Source organism: Homo sapiens, chromosome 5, assembly GCF_000001405.40.
Source record: "Homo sapiens chromosome 5, GRCh38.p14 Primary Assembly".
Taxonomy (NCBI): domain Eukaryota; kingdom Metazoa; phylum Chordata; class Mammalia; order Primates; family Hominidae; genus Homo; species Homo sapiens.
Genome location: NC_000005.10, coordinates 64014434 through 64036260, shown reverse-complemented (window position 1 = coordinate 64036260; position 21827 = coordinate 64014434). Strand labels below are relative to the sequence as shown.

Genomic DNA, 21827 nt, shown 5'->3' with positions numbered 1-21827 from the left:
GAAGCTATCGATATAGATATTAATTAAATATACATTTATTAAATTATCCATTTTGAAATTTGGCAATATATATCCAAGACTTTAAAAATGATTATACTCATTGATCTAATAATTTCACTTTCAGAGATTTGTCCCAAAGAATGAATCATGGTTACAGGCAAATCTTTACGTATAAAGTTGTTTATTATAGCATTTGTTTTAATAGGAAACTTAAGGGAAATAACCTAAATGTCCAATAATAAGGAATCAGTAAAATATATTACAGTGTATTTTTAAAAAGAAATATTGCAAAGCCAGAATATGGATGTGGATATTTAATGTTATGAGAATTATTCAAGATATAGTAGCAAATAAAAAAAATCAGTCCGAATACTATGTGTATGTGTGCATGTGAATATTCCTTGTTTAATGGAACAATCTGGGATTGGTGGGGTTCAGACAGAAAATGGCTTTATTTTTGACCAACCGCTACCTTCAGATCTCCTTTCCCTGCCCCTAATGATATCTTGGAAAGATGTCTTAGCCTTTCTGTTATTTCCTGTTGTGAGTATGGTTTCCATAATAACAGTTCATTTTCAGACATTAAAAGATCTTGTCCATTTTAAATGAAAATGTTAACCTCACACTCAATTCAAAGTTCTTCTTCCCTTCATGACTTTCACCCCTGACTGGGACTTGCCACAGGGAAGGAGGTGTGTGTGGCCTATTTTTTTGTTTTGTTTTGTTTTGTTTTTCACTCATCCTCCCATCCCTTCTTTGCTGCTTTGGCTCTTTTGAGGCTGGGAGGGAAAAGGAGTATTAGAGGAACAAGAGTAACGGTCTTACAGGTACTATCGTAATCTGCCTACATAACAGGCATCAAAAGCCTGGCTATTAAATTGGGTACAGACATGGATTCTATGGATATTCTGAAAAATTTCCATGGTAGATAGTTCTGTGATATAAGCAACGTATTCCAGTGAACTCTTACAACAACCCCTCTCATGAAATGCATTGTTGATGCATTGGATTCTCTGACATCTGTTGGCTTCCCTCTTGAGCAAAATAAATTCAAAATAGCTTGAGCCTAGCTACTCTCTATGGGCTATACTTGGATCACAGAAAACTCATACATTTTAGCTACACAGAATAATCACAGTGTAAGATTTCCCACTGCTGCCCTCTCTCTGTTTTTCCATTGAGAGGCCGCACTGGCCAACCTCCAGCCTCTAGCATTTTCCAGATGAGAAGCTGTTGTCAGTCTTTTTGTTCATGTATGACCCCAGATGCCAGAGAGATCTCAAGTTCTCCCAAGAACTCTCTTCCTTGGCAAAGCTGGGGTTCTACAATTTAGCACAGACAGACAAAGCCATTAGAAAGTAAAGACTAGGTCATAGATGAGTAAGATAGGACAGCATAGCAGGGATGGAATTCATAAGACAAGAACAAGTTTGTAGGTGAATAAAGGGGGCTTGCAGAGTCAGTTTGGTTCTGTTTCTAGGATAGGTTGATGAACTTGTAGCTTTATAAGGAAACAAAAACGTGTAGGGTTGGAATTAAGGGGGTCCATTATGAGATAGTTGCAGTATCCAGGTACTTTCAAGGTGAGAGAATTGAGGTTCAGCACCTTTTCTAATATTCTTAATCTGCCATGTAATAATTTATATCTGACTATCAAATTGGAGATACCTTGTTTTAAAGATAAAAAAGTATGTGTCAAAGCTCAACATAAACAAATATTAAAAATGTATTCATGGCTCTAAATAATTAATAATTTATAATTAATAATTTCCTTCTGACAGGAAGATAATATAATTTTAACAGGATATATTATTATTTTAGGATGTGCATGAGCAATTTGGCTTAGACCTAAAGTATTTGTTGCATTACTTTTAGTATGTATATTGAATTTCATTCTTTATACAACAATTTAGCAGCTTTTTGCTTATGGCACTTACGAATATTCAAAGAGACTATCTCCTCTGTTTTAACTTTACAGGGTATTTGCTTATTCCCTTGCTTCATTTTTAATTAAGATTTTTAAACAAACATGTGTACTAATGGAGAAAAATATGCAAGAGCAAAGTTAGAATCTCTAGGGAAAAGCCAGCTGGCTATTTTCCAGGTAGTATTCATCATTTTCATGGATTTACTAGTGGCCAAGTATCAGTCTTAGAGGCTCAGTTTCCAAAATTATGGGCACTGAAAACAAATTAATTTTTCAGGTATTGTTTCACATTAATCAAGCTTATAGAAATTAATGTATGAAACAGAAGGCCAATTTATTAGTTTTCCACCAGAAACATAATGGTTCATATCTAGTGGAAAATTTTAATTGCTAACTCAGCAACCAGGTACCTCCTCTTCCTAGTAATACCTTAAGTTTGGTTGGGAAGCCATACCCTTGCCTTTGGAGTCCAGAAGATCAGTTCTCGGTGTAGACCATGTTTGGCCTAACGAGAAAATAACATATTCCATTAAGGCATTTGAAAAGGGAGAGGCATTAATAACAATAATTTCAGGCCAATAGGAAATTGGAATGGTCTGAGGAATCAGAATATGTGATTCCCTTACCTAAGCAGTCCAGTTAGGAAGAATTTCTGAATCCTTCTTGGAATCTTATAAATATGTTCCCTTCCACTGAACATGTACAATGGAACACATAGCCCCAAATGTTACTCAGAATGAAACAGTCTTTGAAGAACGGAATATGAAGAAATGAAAAGAAAATGGGTCCTCAGTGACACATTAAGCTGTTGGGTCAGCCAAACTTGAAGCCCGCACTATGTTTGGATTTCCATTCACTTGAACCAATAACTCTATTTATTTATTTACCTATTGGGCCCAAATTTCTCTTTCAATTCAATTTTCCTATTGACATAGTATATAATAAATCAGTGGGAATAAATAAACATAGGTTTTGAATTAGTATTTCTTTTACTTTTTATTTTGAAATAATTATAGATTTATAGCAAGATACAAATAAATGAATAAAAATGCCCATGTGCCGTTCGCTCAGCCTCTCACAAAGTTAATGTTATTTTGCATAATTATTGTGTGATATTAAAACCAGGTAATTGACCTTGGTATAATCCATGAACGCATTCTGATTTTATGTTATACATACGTACATTACACATGTGTTTGCATGCATGTGTGAGTATGCAGTTTGATGAACTTCAATTACACAGGTAGCTTTATGTAACTACCACCAAAGTTAAGACACATAACTATACCATCCCTACCAGGCTCCTTTGTGTTACCTCTTGTAGCCAACCAGACTCCGATCCTTCATCCTCAGCTATTCACAACCACTAATCTATTCTCTATTACCACACTTTAATTTCAAGAGTATTATATAAATGGAATTATACAGTATACAACCAGTTGAGAATGCCTTTTTTTCATTCAGTATAGTTGTCTTAAAGCTCACCTAAATTGTTGAATGCATTAATAATTCATTCCTTATTAATTTTGAGTAGTATTCCATGTATGAACCCACCACAGTTTATGTAACCATTTACCCATTGAAGGGCATTTGAGTAGTTTCCAGTTTTGGGTTCTTACAAATAAGTTGACATAAATATTTGTGTACAAAGTTCTGTGTGAACATGTTTTCATTTCTCTAGAATAAATGCTTAATGATGTAGTTGCTGGGTAATATGGTAAGTCCACTTTTAGTTTTAAAAGAAACTTCCAATGGCTGTGCCATTTTACATTTCCACCAGGAATAGATTACTGATTTGGTTTCTCTGCATCCTTGCCAACATTTTGTGTTATTAAGATTTTTAATTTTAGCCATTTTGATATGTGTGTTCCCTTAGTCTTCAAACAACTTTGACTTGGGTTTTCTGTTGCTTTTGAAATGAGAAATTCTAATTGAGGTACCACAGGATAGGACAATTGAGACCCCTAGGCAGGATATAAAATATTGTTTGGTGAGAATGGAGCCAGAACAAGGGGGATTATTTACAGGATTTAAATATGAATGACATCACACTGTCACACTCAAATCATTAGGTTTTCAAAAGCAGTGATGTGTTCCAGGATCTAGAGAGGGCAGTCCTTGGGCCAAGGCTCCCTTCTTGGGCAGTTCTGGTAGCAGGCTTTTAGGCACCAGCCTTGGAGCATCTCCTTTTTAGATTCATATGTTTTCATGCCTGACTAGTCCTACTTTTTAAAGTCCTACTTTTGATAATCTTTACATTAAAAGGTAATCTTTTTTACATATATTAATATATTTAATGAGATTATAGTTATAAAACCTTCTTTTGGTCTCAGGTGGCTCATTCTATGCATATAGTCACCTTTACAAAAATCACCTTTGAAAATATTATTTCTTTTTCTGTATCTCTCACAGAACAGTAATAGGACACAATCCAAAACTCAGGAAAACATTTTTCAAAACTCATTCTCTTTCTTTTGCAGTTCTTTAGCATCTTTCAGTTTTCTCAGAGACTCTCATGTGAAATCCCTAAACTTTTGTCAAATCTGACATTTTGGCCCATCTGTAAGATCTTTACTTGACTGCTTCTCCTTCTGTTTTATCCAAAGGTTTTTCCAACATTTTAAGGCCATGTGCAAATTCTTCATATGAAAGGAAGAGTGGGAACTTGGGCATTCATCTAGCAAGCAAGGATCCTTCCATTTTACTCTTGGCCTTACTTTCCTGGTTTTTCGTTTGCATTCACCCTTTTCTGTAACACTGTAAGCCTAGAATAGGTCTGGCTAAGCCACTTAGAAGGTGAACTTTACTTATGGGGAACCTGAGCCAGAAAACTGAAAATTCTCTTGTGTGGAAGGTTGAAAACATTCCCTTCATCTTAGCACATAGTGAGATCCTGTAGATCCAAAGGCCATTCTATCTCAAAAGTAACTTGGCATCTCTCTGCTCAGTGCAACTGTGTGTTAATATTAGAGCTGAACTCTTAAAGGACCATGTTATTTCCCTGATTTCCAAGTCTTGGGGGTGGCAGTGGAATGGGGATAAGTTCAGGGGTGAAGAAACTGCTAGAATCTCACTGTAACCTCCATAAGCTCCATTTCTGGCTAGGGTGATTTGTTTTGTTTTATTTCTGCTATTGGTTATAGGCGGCCTGCAAATCCGTCAGTGACACTGGGGCAGCTGGCCTCAAGTGTGTGCCCTAATAATGCAGGGTCAGCAGCACAATATTTAAATATGAAAGAAAGCACATCCATTACCATATTTTTACATCTAAATTTAGGCTAAAAAGTACTCAGGGCAATTTGCATTCATTTTAGGATGGAAACATTATACTTGATAGGCATATCAGTTAGCGGGAGCTATGTATAGCATCTCTGTTCACCTTTACATGCTGCTGCACAGTTGTCTGCAGAGGGAGGGAACTCTCATTTTGTAAACACTTACCTGTCATGATCAGCATTTTTGCACACCTTGCCTGATAACCTGTATGTGGCTGTGGCTGAATCTCACATCTGACATCTTCACATTGTATGTAAGACTGATTTTTGTGTAACTGAAGACAAGGTTTTGAGAGGTCTGTTGCCATTTATAATCCTGTTTTAGGCTGGGAAAAGAATGAATGCATCCTTTTTTCACTTGGAAAGAGAAGCCTGGTAATTTCAGCTGCATAGGTCATACTCTGTTGAAAAGTACTGAATAAAATTTCGGTATTCTGGGGCCATATATCAATTTTTTAATATTCCACACAGATGTCGTTGGCCTGAGATGTTCTTCAACTCTTTGTGATGACCACACATCACTGGTTCCTGCTTTTCTGTCTGTTTTACCTCCATATCTATTCATATATCTGGCTTCTGTTGATGTCTTGCTAGTGTTTGACTCTTGTTGATTTCTTTAGCATAAAATTTATGTCAGATGTTCTTAGGTAGAGTGTGGGGTATCAGAATTACCTATGCTAGATCCTCCCCACATTCTCTTCTGTCCCCCAGGGATTCTGATACATCCTCAAACTCTTGATTCAGAACAACAAATTTTGATGTTTCTCTTCATAAATTTCATTAAGGCAGGAAGTAGTTTTGGAGAGTGTGAGGACCCTGGCAGGCAAATGCATTGGGAAGGGGGATTTGGTAAAGCTGACTGAGATGAGATGAAAGCCCCCTTGATGTAAGTCTGACAAGCAGATGGTATCTGGTACTGTTGCTCCCAGAAGCTAAGCTTCGGGTTGGCTGGATTGAGCCAGGAAGATGGAGGGCCAATTTCCAGACCTATTGCTCTTGTGGCTTGGAAAAGGCTCCTCCTTCCCATTCACATATCCAATCCTGCTTGTACATCAGGATCCTCCTTGGGTCTTATCTGTTCTTGAAGCCTTATAGTTAACCACAATTTATGCCTTCTTTGATTTGTCTTTTTTTTTATATAAGTACTGTTTTTTGAACAGTTAGTACTTATATTTCATATTTCATTATAAAATGCTTATAATCTTTGACTGTTCCCTGACTATATATCTCATCATTCCAACAAGGCTACAAGCTTCTCAAAGGCTATAACTTATACCACATTTCCAATTTTCCAGAAGAAAGAACTTTGAACAGAAAGTTCTTTCTGAGAGGAAGATAACTAAAATTTGTTTGGCATTACTATGTGCCAGGCATTGTGGGAAAGCCCTTGATATTTTACTTCAATTTATTTCTGCATGCTATTATCACTTTTTTTTTTTTACAGATTATTAAAGTGAAGTTTGGAGTTTTTAGTAACTAGCTGGAAAGCACATGAATCATAGCAGAGAATGTAAAGATTTGATTTAGGCTTATAAGACTGCATTTTCAGTTGCCACAAAGACTCCAATTTCAGTTGACGCAATAACAATTAAGTATTGGTCTTCCTATGTTTTAAAAGTGTGTCTATTATCTGTTTTATTTAGAGATTCTACTATCTTCTCTTTTTACTCTGAAATATAGGTAATTTTTATACCTTCCTGTAATTTTTCAATGCTAGCTTTCATTGTTACTATATTTTATAATTTCAAATTAAATGGTGGTTGTATAATGACACTATGACCAATCAATTGGCCAAAAGTCTTGATACAACTTCTTTTGGGAGCATGATGCTTTTAAATATATACATAATTATTGCTATCAAAATCATCTATTTTTCACCTATTTTAGAGACTTTATGAGACTTTAGAGTTTTTATTTAAATAAAGTCTCCATTTTAGAGACTTTAGAGACTTTATGAGATTAGACCTCTCATTTTATCTACAGGATGCTTTTAGTAGTGGAAATAGAAAAGTTTACCGTGAGGATGCTATTTGCATTAACACTGATATTTATTTATCATAGAAAATAATCTTCACATAGATTCAGGAAGTCACTGAACTGCAATTATGTTTGTACTATCTAATATTTCCCCAAAATTTCAGTTCTTTTTTCTAGGTATTTGAATATCAAGATATTTAATCTTTCAGTTTTCCTTTATTGATAATTTGAGCAAATCAGTAAACATGCTTACCAATTCTTCTGACTTTATAATGCTAGTCAGAAAATTTTATTAATTCTGACAGTTTCCAATATACCAGCTATTCTTTATTAGCTACTTCAAGTATTGAATTCTTGGAAGATTTTACAACCATTACCACTTTTCAGATACTTTTTTATTGCTTTCTGACTGCCAAAATCTTTTCTTTTCAGTAATAATTCAATTTTTGAGAACTGTGCTTAATAGCCTCTGACTTTAAAAATTATCTTTGTCTGTGTGTGTGTGTGTGTGTGTGTGTGTGTGTGTGTTTCCCAATGCCAACTTTCAGTTTTCTTAATCTCCCCAGGGAATATTTTAAAGTACCATCTCATTTGTTTTAATCCCCTTGCTAGCATTAACATCTTCAAGCTTATAAATACTTATATGACTCAATAAGTTTCAGGTTTTATCCATCGTATATCTGCAGCTTGCCACCCAGCTTTCTATTGAAGTCTCATGGTATGTTAAATATGCTTTTTGGTTATTTGCACCTGGGAGACTAAATCTCAGGTGAAGAAACTATTATAAGTGCATCTCATCCCTTGGTTTGCCTGATATTGTTTTTATACTTGTGGTGAAACAGGTGCAGAATTCTGCATCTGTCTCTGTTAATTAGGCAAATAGTGACACTAAGGTGTAGAGGAATTAAGTGCATATTCTAGAATCAGACAGCCATAGACTTGAAACTTGGCTCTGCTGTTTGCTAGTAACAACTTTGAGCAAATTATTTAACCCTACTGTGCTTTAATTTCCTCCTCATCAAAACAGATAATTGTAGTCACTACCTCATTCATGTAGGGAGGACTAAATGAGATAATATAAAATAGCGCATATACATATACTTATGTGTGTGTGCATGTGTGTATGTCTATAAATACTCTAAGGCTTTATATGGAATGCATTTGTCTTGATTTCATCGCCACACATATAGAAATAGCCCATGGCACTCCACCTTTCTTACTCATAGTATAATGTAGTAACTTTTGGTATCCCACAATGGCATTCTTTTGAACCAGAAAAAGACAAGTTGTATCTTTTTTTATTTTTTGAGTAGCATATGCTGATCTTTACACAAAATACTAGCACTCTTTTCAAATTATTGTCTGCCAAGAGATATTGGCAGCTCCATGTCTTGCCTGTGACTGTCACAAGAGAGAAAATCAATACAACAACCAACTGATGTGAAGCTGTCTAAGGCCATGGTTATCTCTGCTCTTTAAAAAAAAAATTAAGACGTTCACAAATGGCCTTGGTAAATTTTTTAGGTCCATGAAAAACCTGTAACTGTATTTACACATAAAAATAGACACATGAATTCAAATTTCCAAGAAAAGGGCTGGGGCTGAATTGGGGGGAAACATACTACTTTGTTATGTGCACTCACCTATGGTCTGCATGTGCTAAATAATTACTCATTCCTGATTCAATTTCTGTCTGTCCAAGCTCCATCTTTTCTTAAAGGTTTTTGAACTCAACTGTCCCTTTCTTCAGGAAATTTTTGAAAGCCTCCCTTAGAATGAAGTCAGCCATGCTCTTTATTTTCTTAACCTTGGTTATATCTCTTTCATGAGACTTCATATACTGCATCATAGACTTTATGAGATCAGACTCTCATTTTATTTATCTTGTGGTTAGTCTTATAAACCACCCACATTGCTTTACCTCTTGCCTAGTACACTAGGTAATGTGGGTCAGTTCTCAAAAAATTGTCCCTGAATGAAGGGATTTATGAATAATTAGAAATGGTATGGAACTTATAAATCATTTAGTTTAATTCCTTATTTTATCATGAGAAAAATTGAGGTCTAGAAAGGTATCTAATTTTGTCTAAGATCACATAGCAAGCACAGAAAAAGGAAAAAATAAGACCTTATTTATATTGGTGTACATTTTTAATTAAAATGATTGGAATCTTAAAGGTAATGGTGCTTGAGAATTATAAATCTCTAGAATATCTGAGACATTGTTTTGAAAGTAGTTGTGGCAAATCAGGTATTTATAAATATTGCTGATGAGATTCCTATTTATTCAAACTCGTTACTTGACAAACATCTTTATACAGAAACAAATACTGTATTGAATTGTACTCATCTTGAACAATGCAATACAGAATTGTGCAATACAGTATGTACAATATAGAATTACAGAGTGATCTTGCACCATACCTTATTCAATGTGTTGTAAATTGAGTTGGCCAATCAACTGTTCATAATTATTAGATTACGCTGGCAAAATAGACACCTGTGGCAACTAAAAAAAGATAGAAACTAAGTTTCCTACTCTACAACACTGCTATCACAAGAACTGTAAAAATGAAATATTTTGTGAACCAAATACTGCCACATAAATGCATTTTTTGTTAGCCAGCAGTCACAAAACATTGAAACACTCTTTTCCTATAAACCCAGTGAAAACCCTGCTTTTTAAAAAATCTTTTCAGGTGCTCTGACAAGGACCTTGCATGAATCATTCATCTGGAGAAAATGACAATATTCTGTCAGCAGCATTAGCTAACCCTGTTGGATCAGGAAACAGATTCCACCATTAAATGTATGGACACAGGATGAAACAGAGTTTGATATGGCTGTTACTTTGAAGGTATCCTACTGGGCTCACCAGAGTTATGTGTGTGTGTGTGTGTGTGTGTTTGTGTGTGTTTGGTATAAAAATCTTAAAAATTAAAGTAACAATAATATGCAATTTTCTTTTCAAATAAAATTGACCTTTTTTGTCTTCTTATTTTATTTTAGTTAGGGACAGGATATTCAAAAGTGCATTCCTAATATTTTAATAATAGCTTTTTTGAGATGTTATTAACATAGCTTCCGGTTCATAAAGTATATAATTCAATGGTTTTCAGTGTATTCACAGTTGCACAAACATCACCACAATCAATTTTAGAACTTTTTTTTATCATTTCCATCAAAAACGCTGTACCCATTAGCAGTCATCCTCCATTTTCCAACTCCTTTCTCCTCCCCACTGACCTCCCCACCAGCCTTAGGCAACCACTAACCTTCTTTCTCTATATATAGATTTTCCTGTGTGGGCACTACACCATAAATGGAGTCATACACTATGTGTTTTTTGTGGTCGACTTCTTTCACTGTTTGTGAAAGGTTGTGTTTTCAAGGTTCATTCATGTTATAGAATGTATACAAGTCCCTTATGAGATATATGATTTGAAAATATTTTCTGTCATTCTATAAGTTGTCTTTTCACTTTCCACATGGTGTCCTTTGAACACAAAAGTTTTAGGTTTTGATAAAATCCAAGACCATGAAAAATTATACCTATATTTTCTTCTAATAGTTTTATAGTTTTACCTCTTAAATTTAGGTCTTTAAACATTTTGAGTTCATTTTTGCTTGTGGTGTGAGGTAGTTGCTCAACTTCATTTTATTCCATATGGATATCTAGTTGTCCCAGCACTATTTGTTGTTAAGACTATTCTTTCCACCTCTATTGTCTTGATATCCATGTTGAAAATAAATTGCCTAAAAAAGTAACAGTTTCTTTCTAGACTCTCAATTATATTTGTTGATATATATCTATAATTATATCTATGCCAGTAGCACACTATTTTGATTGTTGTAGCTTTTTTTTTTTTTTTTTTTTTTTTTTTGAGACAGAGTCTCACTCTGTTGCCCAGGTGGGCGTGCAATGGCACTATCTTGGCTCACTGCAACCTCTGCCTCCCAGGTTGAAGCAATTCTCCTGCCTCAGCCTCCCGAATAGCTGGGATTACAGGAATGTGCCACCACGCCCAGCTAATTTTTTTTGTATTTTTAGTAGAGATGGGGTTTCACCATATTGACCAGGCTGGTCTCGAATTCCTGACCTTGTGATCCATCCACCTCGGCCTTCCAAAGTGCTGGATTACAGGCATGAGCCACCGTGCCTGGCTGATTGTTGTAGCTTTGTAGCAAGTTTTGAAATTGGGAAATGTGAGTTCTCCAACTTTGTTCTTTTTCAATATTATTTTGACTCTTTGGGTCCCTTGAATTTCTATATGAATTTTGGGATAAGCTTTTCAATTTCTTCAAAAAGCCAGCTTAGAATTTTGATAGGGATTGCCCTGAATTTGTAGATCAATTTGAGGAGTATTGCCATTTTAACAATATTAAGTCTTCTGATTTATGAGCATGAAATATCTTTCCATTTATTTAGGTATTCTTTAATTGATTTCAACAATGTTTTGTGGAGAAAACTACTCCAACCTCATCAGGTGATTCTCCCTGATGACAAACATATTCTTGTCCATTATTTGAAAGCAGAAAAGAAACATAAGATGATGTCCAATAATTTCACATCTATCCCTGACAAGGAAGAAAGAAGAATGGAGGTGCGGGTGCTCTGGAGTTTTCAGAGATATTAGGCTTCATGCTACAACTGTGAAGCTGTAAAGGGAAGCACTGAGTAGTTTTAAGGGTTTGAGCCCTTAGAAGTTAGTGACTCTAATGTGTGAAATCCCTCTAGCAGACATTAAACCTGGGCAGTTGAAAATAGAAAATACTGATTACCTACAGAAATAATTAGGAAGATCCAAACAAGGATATGGAGAGAAATAGCTCATATAGCTCAGAGTTTGACTTCATTCATGAAGGGCAGAGGTGCCTGTATAAAATTCCAAGCCAAACACGTATCTTGAACATCACTAATTTCAGCAGTGAAAATGTACTTGCAAGGTTCTTTGTAATACTATACAAACTCTCTAGTGCAGATTCAGATATTGATATTTGAAGGTCTTGTTGCAGCCCCAGTCCTGGAGGGTGAACTCCTGATTACTTCAAATGCTAACATTGTGTATTAGTCCATTGCGCACTGCTATAAAGGACTTCCGAGACTAGGTAATTTATAAAGGAAATAAGTTTAATTGACTTGCAGTTCAGCATGCCTGGGGAGGCCTCAGGAAACTTACAATCATGGCGGAATGTGAAAGGGAAGCAACGCACCTTCTTCACAAAGTGGCAGTCCTTCCTGTGAATGAAGGAAGAACTACCACAGACTTATAAAACCATCAGATCTCATGAGAACTCACTCACTATCATGAGAGCAGCATAAAGGAAACCGCTCCCATGATTCAATTACCTCCACCTGGTCTCTCCTTTGATAGGTGGGGATAATGGGGATTACAATTCAAGATGAGATTTTTGGTGGGGACAAAGCCAAACCATATCACAATGCCTTAGGTTGTAGTTTAGGTTTAATTCACACATTTTGTAACACTGTTTGTACAGAATTATTTCAAAGTAAATTACATATAATATTACAGCAGTATGCTCATCTTGGAGTCCTGAGCTCTCAAAAGTTCATTCATGTGGTCCTGGGAGCTCTTTCCTGTCCTTTTAAGAGCCTGATAGAAATAATCTATCCCTGATAGAAATAATTGTAAGAATTCCCAGGTTAACTAAAACCACATTTTTTTTTTGCTTTTGTATTATTCCAGTGTGTTAACACTAATTGCCTCATGCCTAATAGAAATTGTTATTGGCAGTCATACATGTTTTTGAAGTACTAATAGTAAGGAAAGCATATTTTTAGTAATTATAACTTGTTTGATGTACACGGTCATTATACATAGGGCACTTATAAGGTTAAACTATACTAAAAAGGCCTGGATAGTGATGTGAGTTAATTATGAGAATTAGAAGCAATGTTTTCAATGAGTTTCTGAATAGTTGCCTTGGAAATTAGAATTCTAGGTTGTCTGTATTAGAACTTGAATCTATCAGATCAATTTTAGGTGTCATGATTATACTAATAGAACATTGTATAGTAACAAATCAATACTTTGATATTCTCAGACTTACTATCTCTTAGGGATTCATATTTAGTTTTGATTTATTTTGGAAAAAATAATACAATCGGCTTGTTCAAAAACTGTCAGCTAAAGACACTCAGCTAATTGTGGGCACTTGAATTTCCAGAGGCTGTATTTTCATGAGCTATAGATGATTTCATGTGTGCCGAATCCAAGGGAGGGTATTAAAGGAAAGGGGCTCATCTATGTTAACCATCCTACCTTCTGCCTTACCAAGTCATCTCTTTTCTATTGCTATTAATAATATATGTGGCTGTACCACAAAATGCTATGAGATATGTTTAGATGACAGCCACCATTTCAGCCTGTGATTGGAAAACTTGCAACTGTTTCTTTTTTCACCCCAACTGTGCACTAACCCTTGTTCTCCAACTCAAACTGAACACAATGCATATCTTTGATGGCAATAACATTTTGCTGTCTTGATATACACTGGTCCTAAGCTTCTATTTTATTACAGCAATGCCTTTTATTTCTTGGCCTGTCAGTGCTCTTTGATTTAAAGTTCTGGATATTGTTGTGTCACTGAGAATCTACTGTATTAATCTGCTTGTACAATATGTCAAAATAGGTAGTTAGGCTATTGTTTGAATCAAAATACCTATGTAGTCACATAAAACAGACAACCTGGTACTGGCTTGAAAGAAGGCATAAGGGTTTATCCCTCACACTGGAAAAGAGAGAATAAAAGGTAGGTTCTGGAGGACTGTATTGAATACTCCAATGTGAGAAATCTGGAGGAAATAAGGGTTTTCTAGCAGAGATAGCCAGAGACTCTTTGTTCTATCTTGTGGGTAGTGGTAATCAGTTATGATTATATTTGTTGCTTAGTAATAGAAACGTGGAACACTAACAGCTTAAATAAGATAAAGTATATTTCTCTCTTTGATAAGCAAAGATAAATGATAAGCAGTAAAGAGCTTGTATGATGTCACAGTGAAAATTAAGAACTCAGGTCCTTCTATTTTGTTGTTATTTCACCTGCAACATGTGGCTTCCACCTTATGGTTCAAGATGGCTGCTTGAATTATAACCATAACTCCACAGTTTAGCAAGCAGGAAGTAGAAAGAGAAAGTGAAGGGTGAACCTCATCTCTTTAAGGATACTTACTGGATACCACATATGACATATCTGCCTATATGCTATTGGCCAGAACTTAGTCATGTGACTTTGCCTATCTATCTCTGAGGAATTTTGGAAAATGTAATCTTTATCCCATACTCAGACAGAACTCATCTTAGCTCTGTAACCAGCTAAGAGTCATAATTTATATTGCCAAGGAAGAAAAAGCAAATCAACATTAATAGAACCAGCTTCAGGGAGCTGAAGGTACTCAATAGTTGGGAATATTTAGAAGGGTGAAGGAGGTTGAAGGTATATCATTAATTAGTTTAGTTGTTAGAAATCCAAAACCTGAGGCTCTTTTCTACAATGGGCCATCCTAGATCCTCAAATAGTCTTTTGAAGTCACATGGTCAATGGAAATGAGACCACAATGGCTGCCCAGTAACAGGCCTTTCTGTCAACTTTCAGATGCACTTCTAAGGTATAGGTTGTCCTGTTGTGACTTTTCCTTGCTTTTGGAGGTTTCTGTATTTCTCTTTTAAAATCTCTTCTGCTGATCATCCAAATGTACCACGCTCTTGAGTCTGTGAATAGAAGCTGCTTAATGTTCATTCAAACATATATTACTTTCACATAAATATTATGGGATCAGTAAAACTGAACAGATGAATTAGAAACAAACATCAGGATATGTAAAAATTTAGATTATAAAAAGGTGTGTCATAAATTAATGAAAAAAGGATTTATTAAATAATTAATATTCAATATAAAATACACATATTAATAATATGAGAGATGAAATGAAAAAAACTAATCCCCTACCACATACTTGATACCTAAATAAATTCTAGGTGGATTAAAATGTTAACTGCTTAAAATCAAACCATAAGAAAACTAGAAGGAAATACAGGTAAATTTGGAAGGATTATTTTTAAAAATGATAACATTCAGAGGTGGTAAAGGTAGAGTAAAACAACTCATATATATATAGTAAGAGTGTAAATTGTCACACCTTTATAGAAGAAAATTTGGTAATGCATATGGAGTCAAAGTACTGAAATTCTTTGTCTCAGTAATTCTATGTTTAGAAATAAATCTTAAAGAAATAATCTGAGGCCAGAGGAGGTGGCTCATGCGTGTAATCCCAGCACTTTGGGAGGCCGAGGCAGGAGGATCACTTGAGGTCAGGAGCTCAAGACCAGCTGGCCAACATGGTGAATCGCTGTCTCTACTAAAAATACAAAAATTAGCCAGGCGTGGTGGTTCATGCTTGTAATCCCAGCTATTTGGGAGGCTGAGGCAGGAGGATCGCTTGAACCTGGGAGGCAGAGGTTGAAGTGAGCCGAGATCACGTCACTGCAGTCCAGCCTGGGTGACAGAATGAGACTCTGTCTCAAAAGAAAAAAAAAAACGGAATAATCTGAGATATGCATAAGAATTTCCGTGTAAGTGTGTTATATTAGTTATCTATTGCTGTATAACAACCACTAATTTAGCGGCTTAAAACAACACTCATTTCTCAGCTCAGTTATATAGGTGAGAAGCCAGCAACAAGATGACTGGATTCTCTGCTCAGGGTATTGCACAGCTGAAATCAAGGTATCAACCAGGATGAGTTCTGGTCTAGAGACTCTGGGGAAGAATCGGCTTCCAGGATCATTCAGTTTGTTGGCATAATTCAGTTCCTGTGGCTGCAGTTTGAGGTCCAAGTTTCTTTGCAGGCTGTCAGCCGCGGTGTGCTCTCAGCCCCTAGAGACCACCTACATTCTTTGCCATGTGGCATCTCCCACCTCCAGTGACAAAGAACTTCTTGTGTGTCAAATCCCTTTGTACTTTGAATTTCTGATTTCCCCTATCTTTGACCTCTAGACCCAGGATTAAAGGGCTAATGTTATTGTCAGGCCGATTAGGATAATCTCCCTATCTTACAGTCAACTGCTTTGAGACCTTAATTACATCTGCAAAATCCATTACAACAGCACCTAGATTAGTGTTTGACTGGATGACTGTGTGTACCCCAGGGACCGGGACTTTTGGAGACCATCTTTGACTTCTGCCTGCCATGGTTTATCCTTGTGTTAATTGTAAAATTAGGAAGAACCCAAATTTCCAAGAATAAAATATTGATTAAATTAGTTGTGGTAAATTTATGTAATAAAAGATAATAGTGCTATTCAAAACTCCTTATATAATGTCATAGGAAAATACTGAAGCTGATCATAAGTTAAAATAAAATATTAAACTATGCGTATGTATAGAAAAAGTCTAAAAAGAAATACATATAAACATTGACAATGGAAGATAGTGTAATAGGTAATTAAAATGTCTTTATATTTTTTCATATTTCTATATGTTTTATGATAACCATGTACTAATTTTGTAATAAGGAATAATAATTTATTTGAAAAACACTTTATTGTTTTCATGGATTTTCTCCTATTTCAGCCTTCTTCTCCTCAAACCATGACTGTAGCTTTTGTACAAACTTAGCAATTCTCTCACCTTGTCATCTTCAGTCAACCTGCAGGCCGGGAATATTGCTGCACCTTTTCTCCTTGGCTTGTGCTTAGCTCTAACAACACTGAGATTTATTGTTACCATTCTCTTCCTCCTGTGCCTTTGGCAGACAATATTAGCGGATCAAGGAACTCTTCTTCCTGATCCTGGACTCTGCTTTAGGTTACTCCGTTACTCCAGTTGGCTATGCTTCATCAGTTGGAATTGGCATGAAAGATGAAATCAGCAAAGCCTAAACTAATCTGGGGATTGAGTTGTCTGGCCATGCTTGGACAGCCTGTGAGGCAGGCCAGCTGGGTTTCTGCTCACATGGAGAGTAAACAGCTTATTGGAAAGAAGTTCTTCCTAAAGTATCAGGGGTCAATATACAAGAACATGGTTGCAGGGCAAGCAGTTGTTAAAGGAGAAAGGTGATTTTGAAAGCAGAGTGACATTTGCTAGTGTGATTTCTCTTTGTCACAGCCCCCTGGCTGAGTCCTGGAGAGCACAAAGCAACATTCCTTATGAACGGATTGAATTAATAGAGATGGCTCGTGGTGTTCCCACTTTAGCAAAGTGACATCATCCTAAGACATCACATTCAGGAACTGTAAAGAAGGAAATACACTGTAGGACGGTGCATGCCAGTCAGGCCCCTGGAATTTTCCAAACTAACGCAGTAATTTCAATTAGGTCAGAATTTCTAAAATTCTACAAATGGCATCAGAGACAAAGAGAATATGGTTCTGCTACCATTTTAGGTTTCCTACTGTAGTTCCAAATTTGTGTGGGACATGAATACATGGGTTATTCTCATAAATTATGTGATATAGGAAAGAGAGCTAATATGGTCTTCATTTTACAGATTAGTAAAAGCATGGAGAGGTTAAACCTGTTCACACAACAACTTAAGAAGGAATAGAAATTAGCTGTGTCTTCTTTTTCTAGCTAAACAGCATTGTGACAAGGCCATAGATACTTGCCAAGCAAACACTTTGAATAAAGCCCTGTAATCAGATGCTGAGGACTACCACACATATAATGAGAAGTGCAGATCCAATATAATTCACTAATGTCTGTAAATGTGATGTGATTTGTAGATTTCAACTGAGTGCATTTTGAATTCAAATTCTAAGAATCAGTATGTAGAAGGTTATATTTTCAGAAGATGGAAAATCTCACATGTTCTTCCAGTGTGATGTTGTCACTTTATTGAGAGACTGGGGGTCTTTGTCCCTTGCCTTCTACTTGGGCAGTTCCTTTTTACTACCTTGACAAATAGAATGTGGAGAAAGGTTTGCTACATGATTTCTGAGGTTTGTTTATAGCACATGGTATAACTTCCCCTGGCTTTCTTGGAGGATATAAACCTTTACATTCCTAGCTGCCATGTTACAATCCTGGCTACCTTGAAGCTGTCATCCTAGAGACACCATGAGAAGGGACTACAAAAAGACACAGAGAGAATATGAGAAGCCCCATTTCTTCCAGACTCTGCTCCACTGTTCTCAGCTCAGGCCCCAGCCATGACAATGAATACATCTTGGAGAACCCCAGTTGTGGCCACCATCTGACTGAAGCTTCACGAGTGATCCCAAGCCAGAACCATACCACCACACTGCTCCCAAATTACTGACATGCAGGACCTATGAAATAAATTAATATTGTTGTTTTAGTCTCCTAAGTTTAGGGGTGACTTTTAAGGCAGCAATAGTTATCTGATGAACAACAGGACAAACATATTGAAAAGTCTTAGCTGCAATTCCTGCTTTACTGAGCTGAGAAACCGACAATGTTTAATACAAGATAGTTCTTTAGAAAAATAAAACGGATGAATCCAGCCATTTCTCCTTTATTGCACAAGCATTTATCTTTGAGGGCCATTATTACTTCTGACATGCTTTTAACCACAGGTTTTTTTTTTTAATGAGAACCCATCTTTTATAGTTCTATAAAGGCTGCTGTAAAAATCTCAATTTATAGAATGATGACATTCCTCGATTCATTCTTTAGGATCACATGAAAATGGAGAGGGAGGTCAAGTCAATTGACATTTGCTCTTTACTTACTCCAGTTTCTGATATCCTGGAGCTTTCACCTTCTAAGCAGCACTGGTTCCATCCTGGGGTGAGCTGACTGAGGGTATAAGACAAACAACGAAAATAGAATCTGACAAGGCTTACCTCTTTTAAGGCCTAAATAACACTAAGTTAATTTAAATGAATTTACTAAAAGTTTTCATAAGGAAAACAATTTCAGATGATTCAAATTCTTTCTCACACTTTGGCATGGTAATATGTTGAGAGATTTTAGGAAGTATTATATGACATCAATAAGTTCACCAAAAGAGCCCTTGCTCTGCTTTCTTATCTCTCAACCTCCCCGTCTTCTGCTTTCTCTCGTCCCTTAAATAAAGCCTCTCTAATCTATATTTATCTTTTAAATCAATTACTTGGACATATAACTTAAACTTTCTAAATCTTTCTATTCAGCTGTAAAATGGGGTTCATAACAGTAATCAGTTTTATTTGTCTGATTAGTCTATCATTGGATCAATATATAATGTCCTACCTCGGTAACATTTATTTCTGCTATTGCAACAACCTATAGCTTTTGGATTTAAATAGGGAACTGCGAGTTGATGGGGGATGGCTACTCTACTAGACAGCTTTGGAATGACCTGGGCTCCAAGGTTGTGATCCTTTGAGCAGAACTCCTAGTCTCCCAAGTAGGGGTTACAGAAAGTTACTTAAGCCGCATGGAACAGCTGACTGGCCTTTTTCTTCAGGTTTCTTCCTAACTTTACAGAGTCCTCAGCATTTGGAAGGACACTCATTTTTGTTCTGCTTGGTGCATAAGAGAGAATTAGGCTCATTATTTTCAAGAATTCCAGGGAGGCCTTGCCTTTCAATGAAACACAGAGTGGTTTGGAGTCATTTAAAGCCAATATTTGTTTTCTTTTTTTGAAGGAATTAGATAGTGCAGCCCTAGGGGAAAACAAGATGGAATAAGTTTTTTTATAGGAAAATAACTGGAAGGCCAGAGAAGGAGGAGGCATGCACTATTAAATACACTTTACATTGTTCGGGGAAGCACAGCTTATTTACAGAATCCCCCTATGACAGTGAATTTAATAGTCTTTTTTTTATAGCATTAGATTTTAAAGTGTTTTGAAATGCTTCCAAATCTATTATTCTAATGAAAGCCCTTCTTTCCAGATAAGGAAACTGAGTTACAGATATGTTAAGTAATGTGCACTAGGACTAGGTCAGCCCAAGAGAGCTGCGTCCCATTTCTTCAGAGTTCTTTTGAGTGACTTTCTCTCCCATTTGGTAAACTCACTAAGCTAATCACAACAATGAAATGTGTCACCTCTCTTAGGCAGTCTGCTGGAGGTGCAGTGTAACTAACTGAAATGGGTCACTCTAGTGACAGGAATTTGAAGTACTGTGGATGGCTTGTGGGGAGGCAGATTTGGTTTCTTAGGGCTGTGAGGACAGTGTCATCTACTTCTTGTATACATAAGGGTGACTTAACCCTGTCCTCAGTGAGGTTATCCATTTAAACCAGTTATAAGATCTCTGTTGTGTCCCTGGCAATGGGAATTGAGCTGAACCCAGGATCACAAGACAGCCACACTCTATCAGAAACTTGCGATTAGCACTATTGGCCCATTTTACAAACAGCAGAAAGCTGTGGTGAGTACACCCTTTGTTCACATCTAGGCCATAAAGAAGATCAAAGTCAGAAATGATAGAAATGAGGGAATTCATGGCCATCTTTTCTACAAAATATCTCTAATAGGACTATAATTTGATAAGAAATTGTTTGCACCAATGTCAAATAAAGTATCATACAATCATTGAAAAACAAGAGTATTTGATTTGTTTTTTCATGCTTGAGTTCATAATGCCCCCTCAAAAACAACAATTTTTGCAATGCTATTTGGCAAATCATGATTGCTCTAGTCTGTTTTCACTGGAATTGTTTTATTGCCTGCTTTTCCTTTTCGTTACTAGTAGGAAATATGATATTGTTCGTGCTTTGCAAGGAAGTTAAGCCCTAAACCCTAAAGTAATATATTTGATTTTTCTGTGGAAACTGACAATACTAATGAGCCAGTTCCACCTGAAATCCAACTGCATTATTTCACATAGCACATTAAAGCCAGAATTTTGGTCCTTTTCCTACCTCCTATTGACTTTCCTCCAACAGCTTGCAAGTTACCAATCTTTTTATATTTGTCTTTATACTTCTACCCTCTTGTTGAAATGAGAACCTAAGATTTGCTTGTCACAAAAGCCTTCTTTCTCTAACCTAGAAGACTGAGGAAGTTTTTGTTTTCTATTATTTTCCTTATAGAAAATAACCTTCTTAAAGTTAGATGTCATGTTTTATACATTTCTGGGTGTCCTATCATACCTACAATGTCAGACATTTAGTAAGAGCTAGACATACACTGTGGTCTGAATATTTGTGTCTTCTCTAACTTATGTTGAAATCCTAACCCCCAGGATTATGGTATTTGCAAGTGCAGCCTTCAGGAGGTGATGAGGTTATGAGGATGGAGATTAGTGATCTTATAAAAAAGACCCTAGAGAGCTCTCTTGTCTTTCCACCACGTGAGGTTTCAATAAAAAGATGGGTGTCTATGAAGAAGGAAGAGGGCCCTCACCAGACACCAAATCTGCCAGCACTTTGATCTTGGACTTCCTAGCCTCCAGTACTGTGATGGATACATTTCTATGGTTTATAAGTCACTCAGCCTAGGTTAGTTTTATCAGCCCAAATGGACTAACACAACATATTTGTTGAATTAAGTTCCTTATTACAGTAGTCATTCAGAAAGAAAAATCAAAGTAGATAGAACAAAATTCAGGGTAAAGTCAGTTTCTTCTACTTGCACATACGCATACATACACGAACATACCCGCTACACATAACACTAAACATCTATAAGACCAGGATATGATACACATTCAGTATAGAGCCCATACTGCATT

The 21827-nt window shown here is 36.2% G+C and overlaps 1 annotated feature.

Annotated features, from left to right (window-relative positions):
- Positions 16061-16251: a silencer, noted in NCBI's record as "fragment chr5:63315837-63316027 (GRCh37/hg19 assembly coordinates)". NCBI's record gives its function as "represses an EF-1alpha promoter that drives an FKBP-Casp9 reporter gene in an ReSE screen in HepG2 liver carcinoma cells {active_cell/tissue: HepG2}" and the evidence as "EXISTENCE:reporter gene assay evidence [ECO:0000049][PMID:32094911]".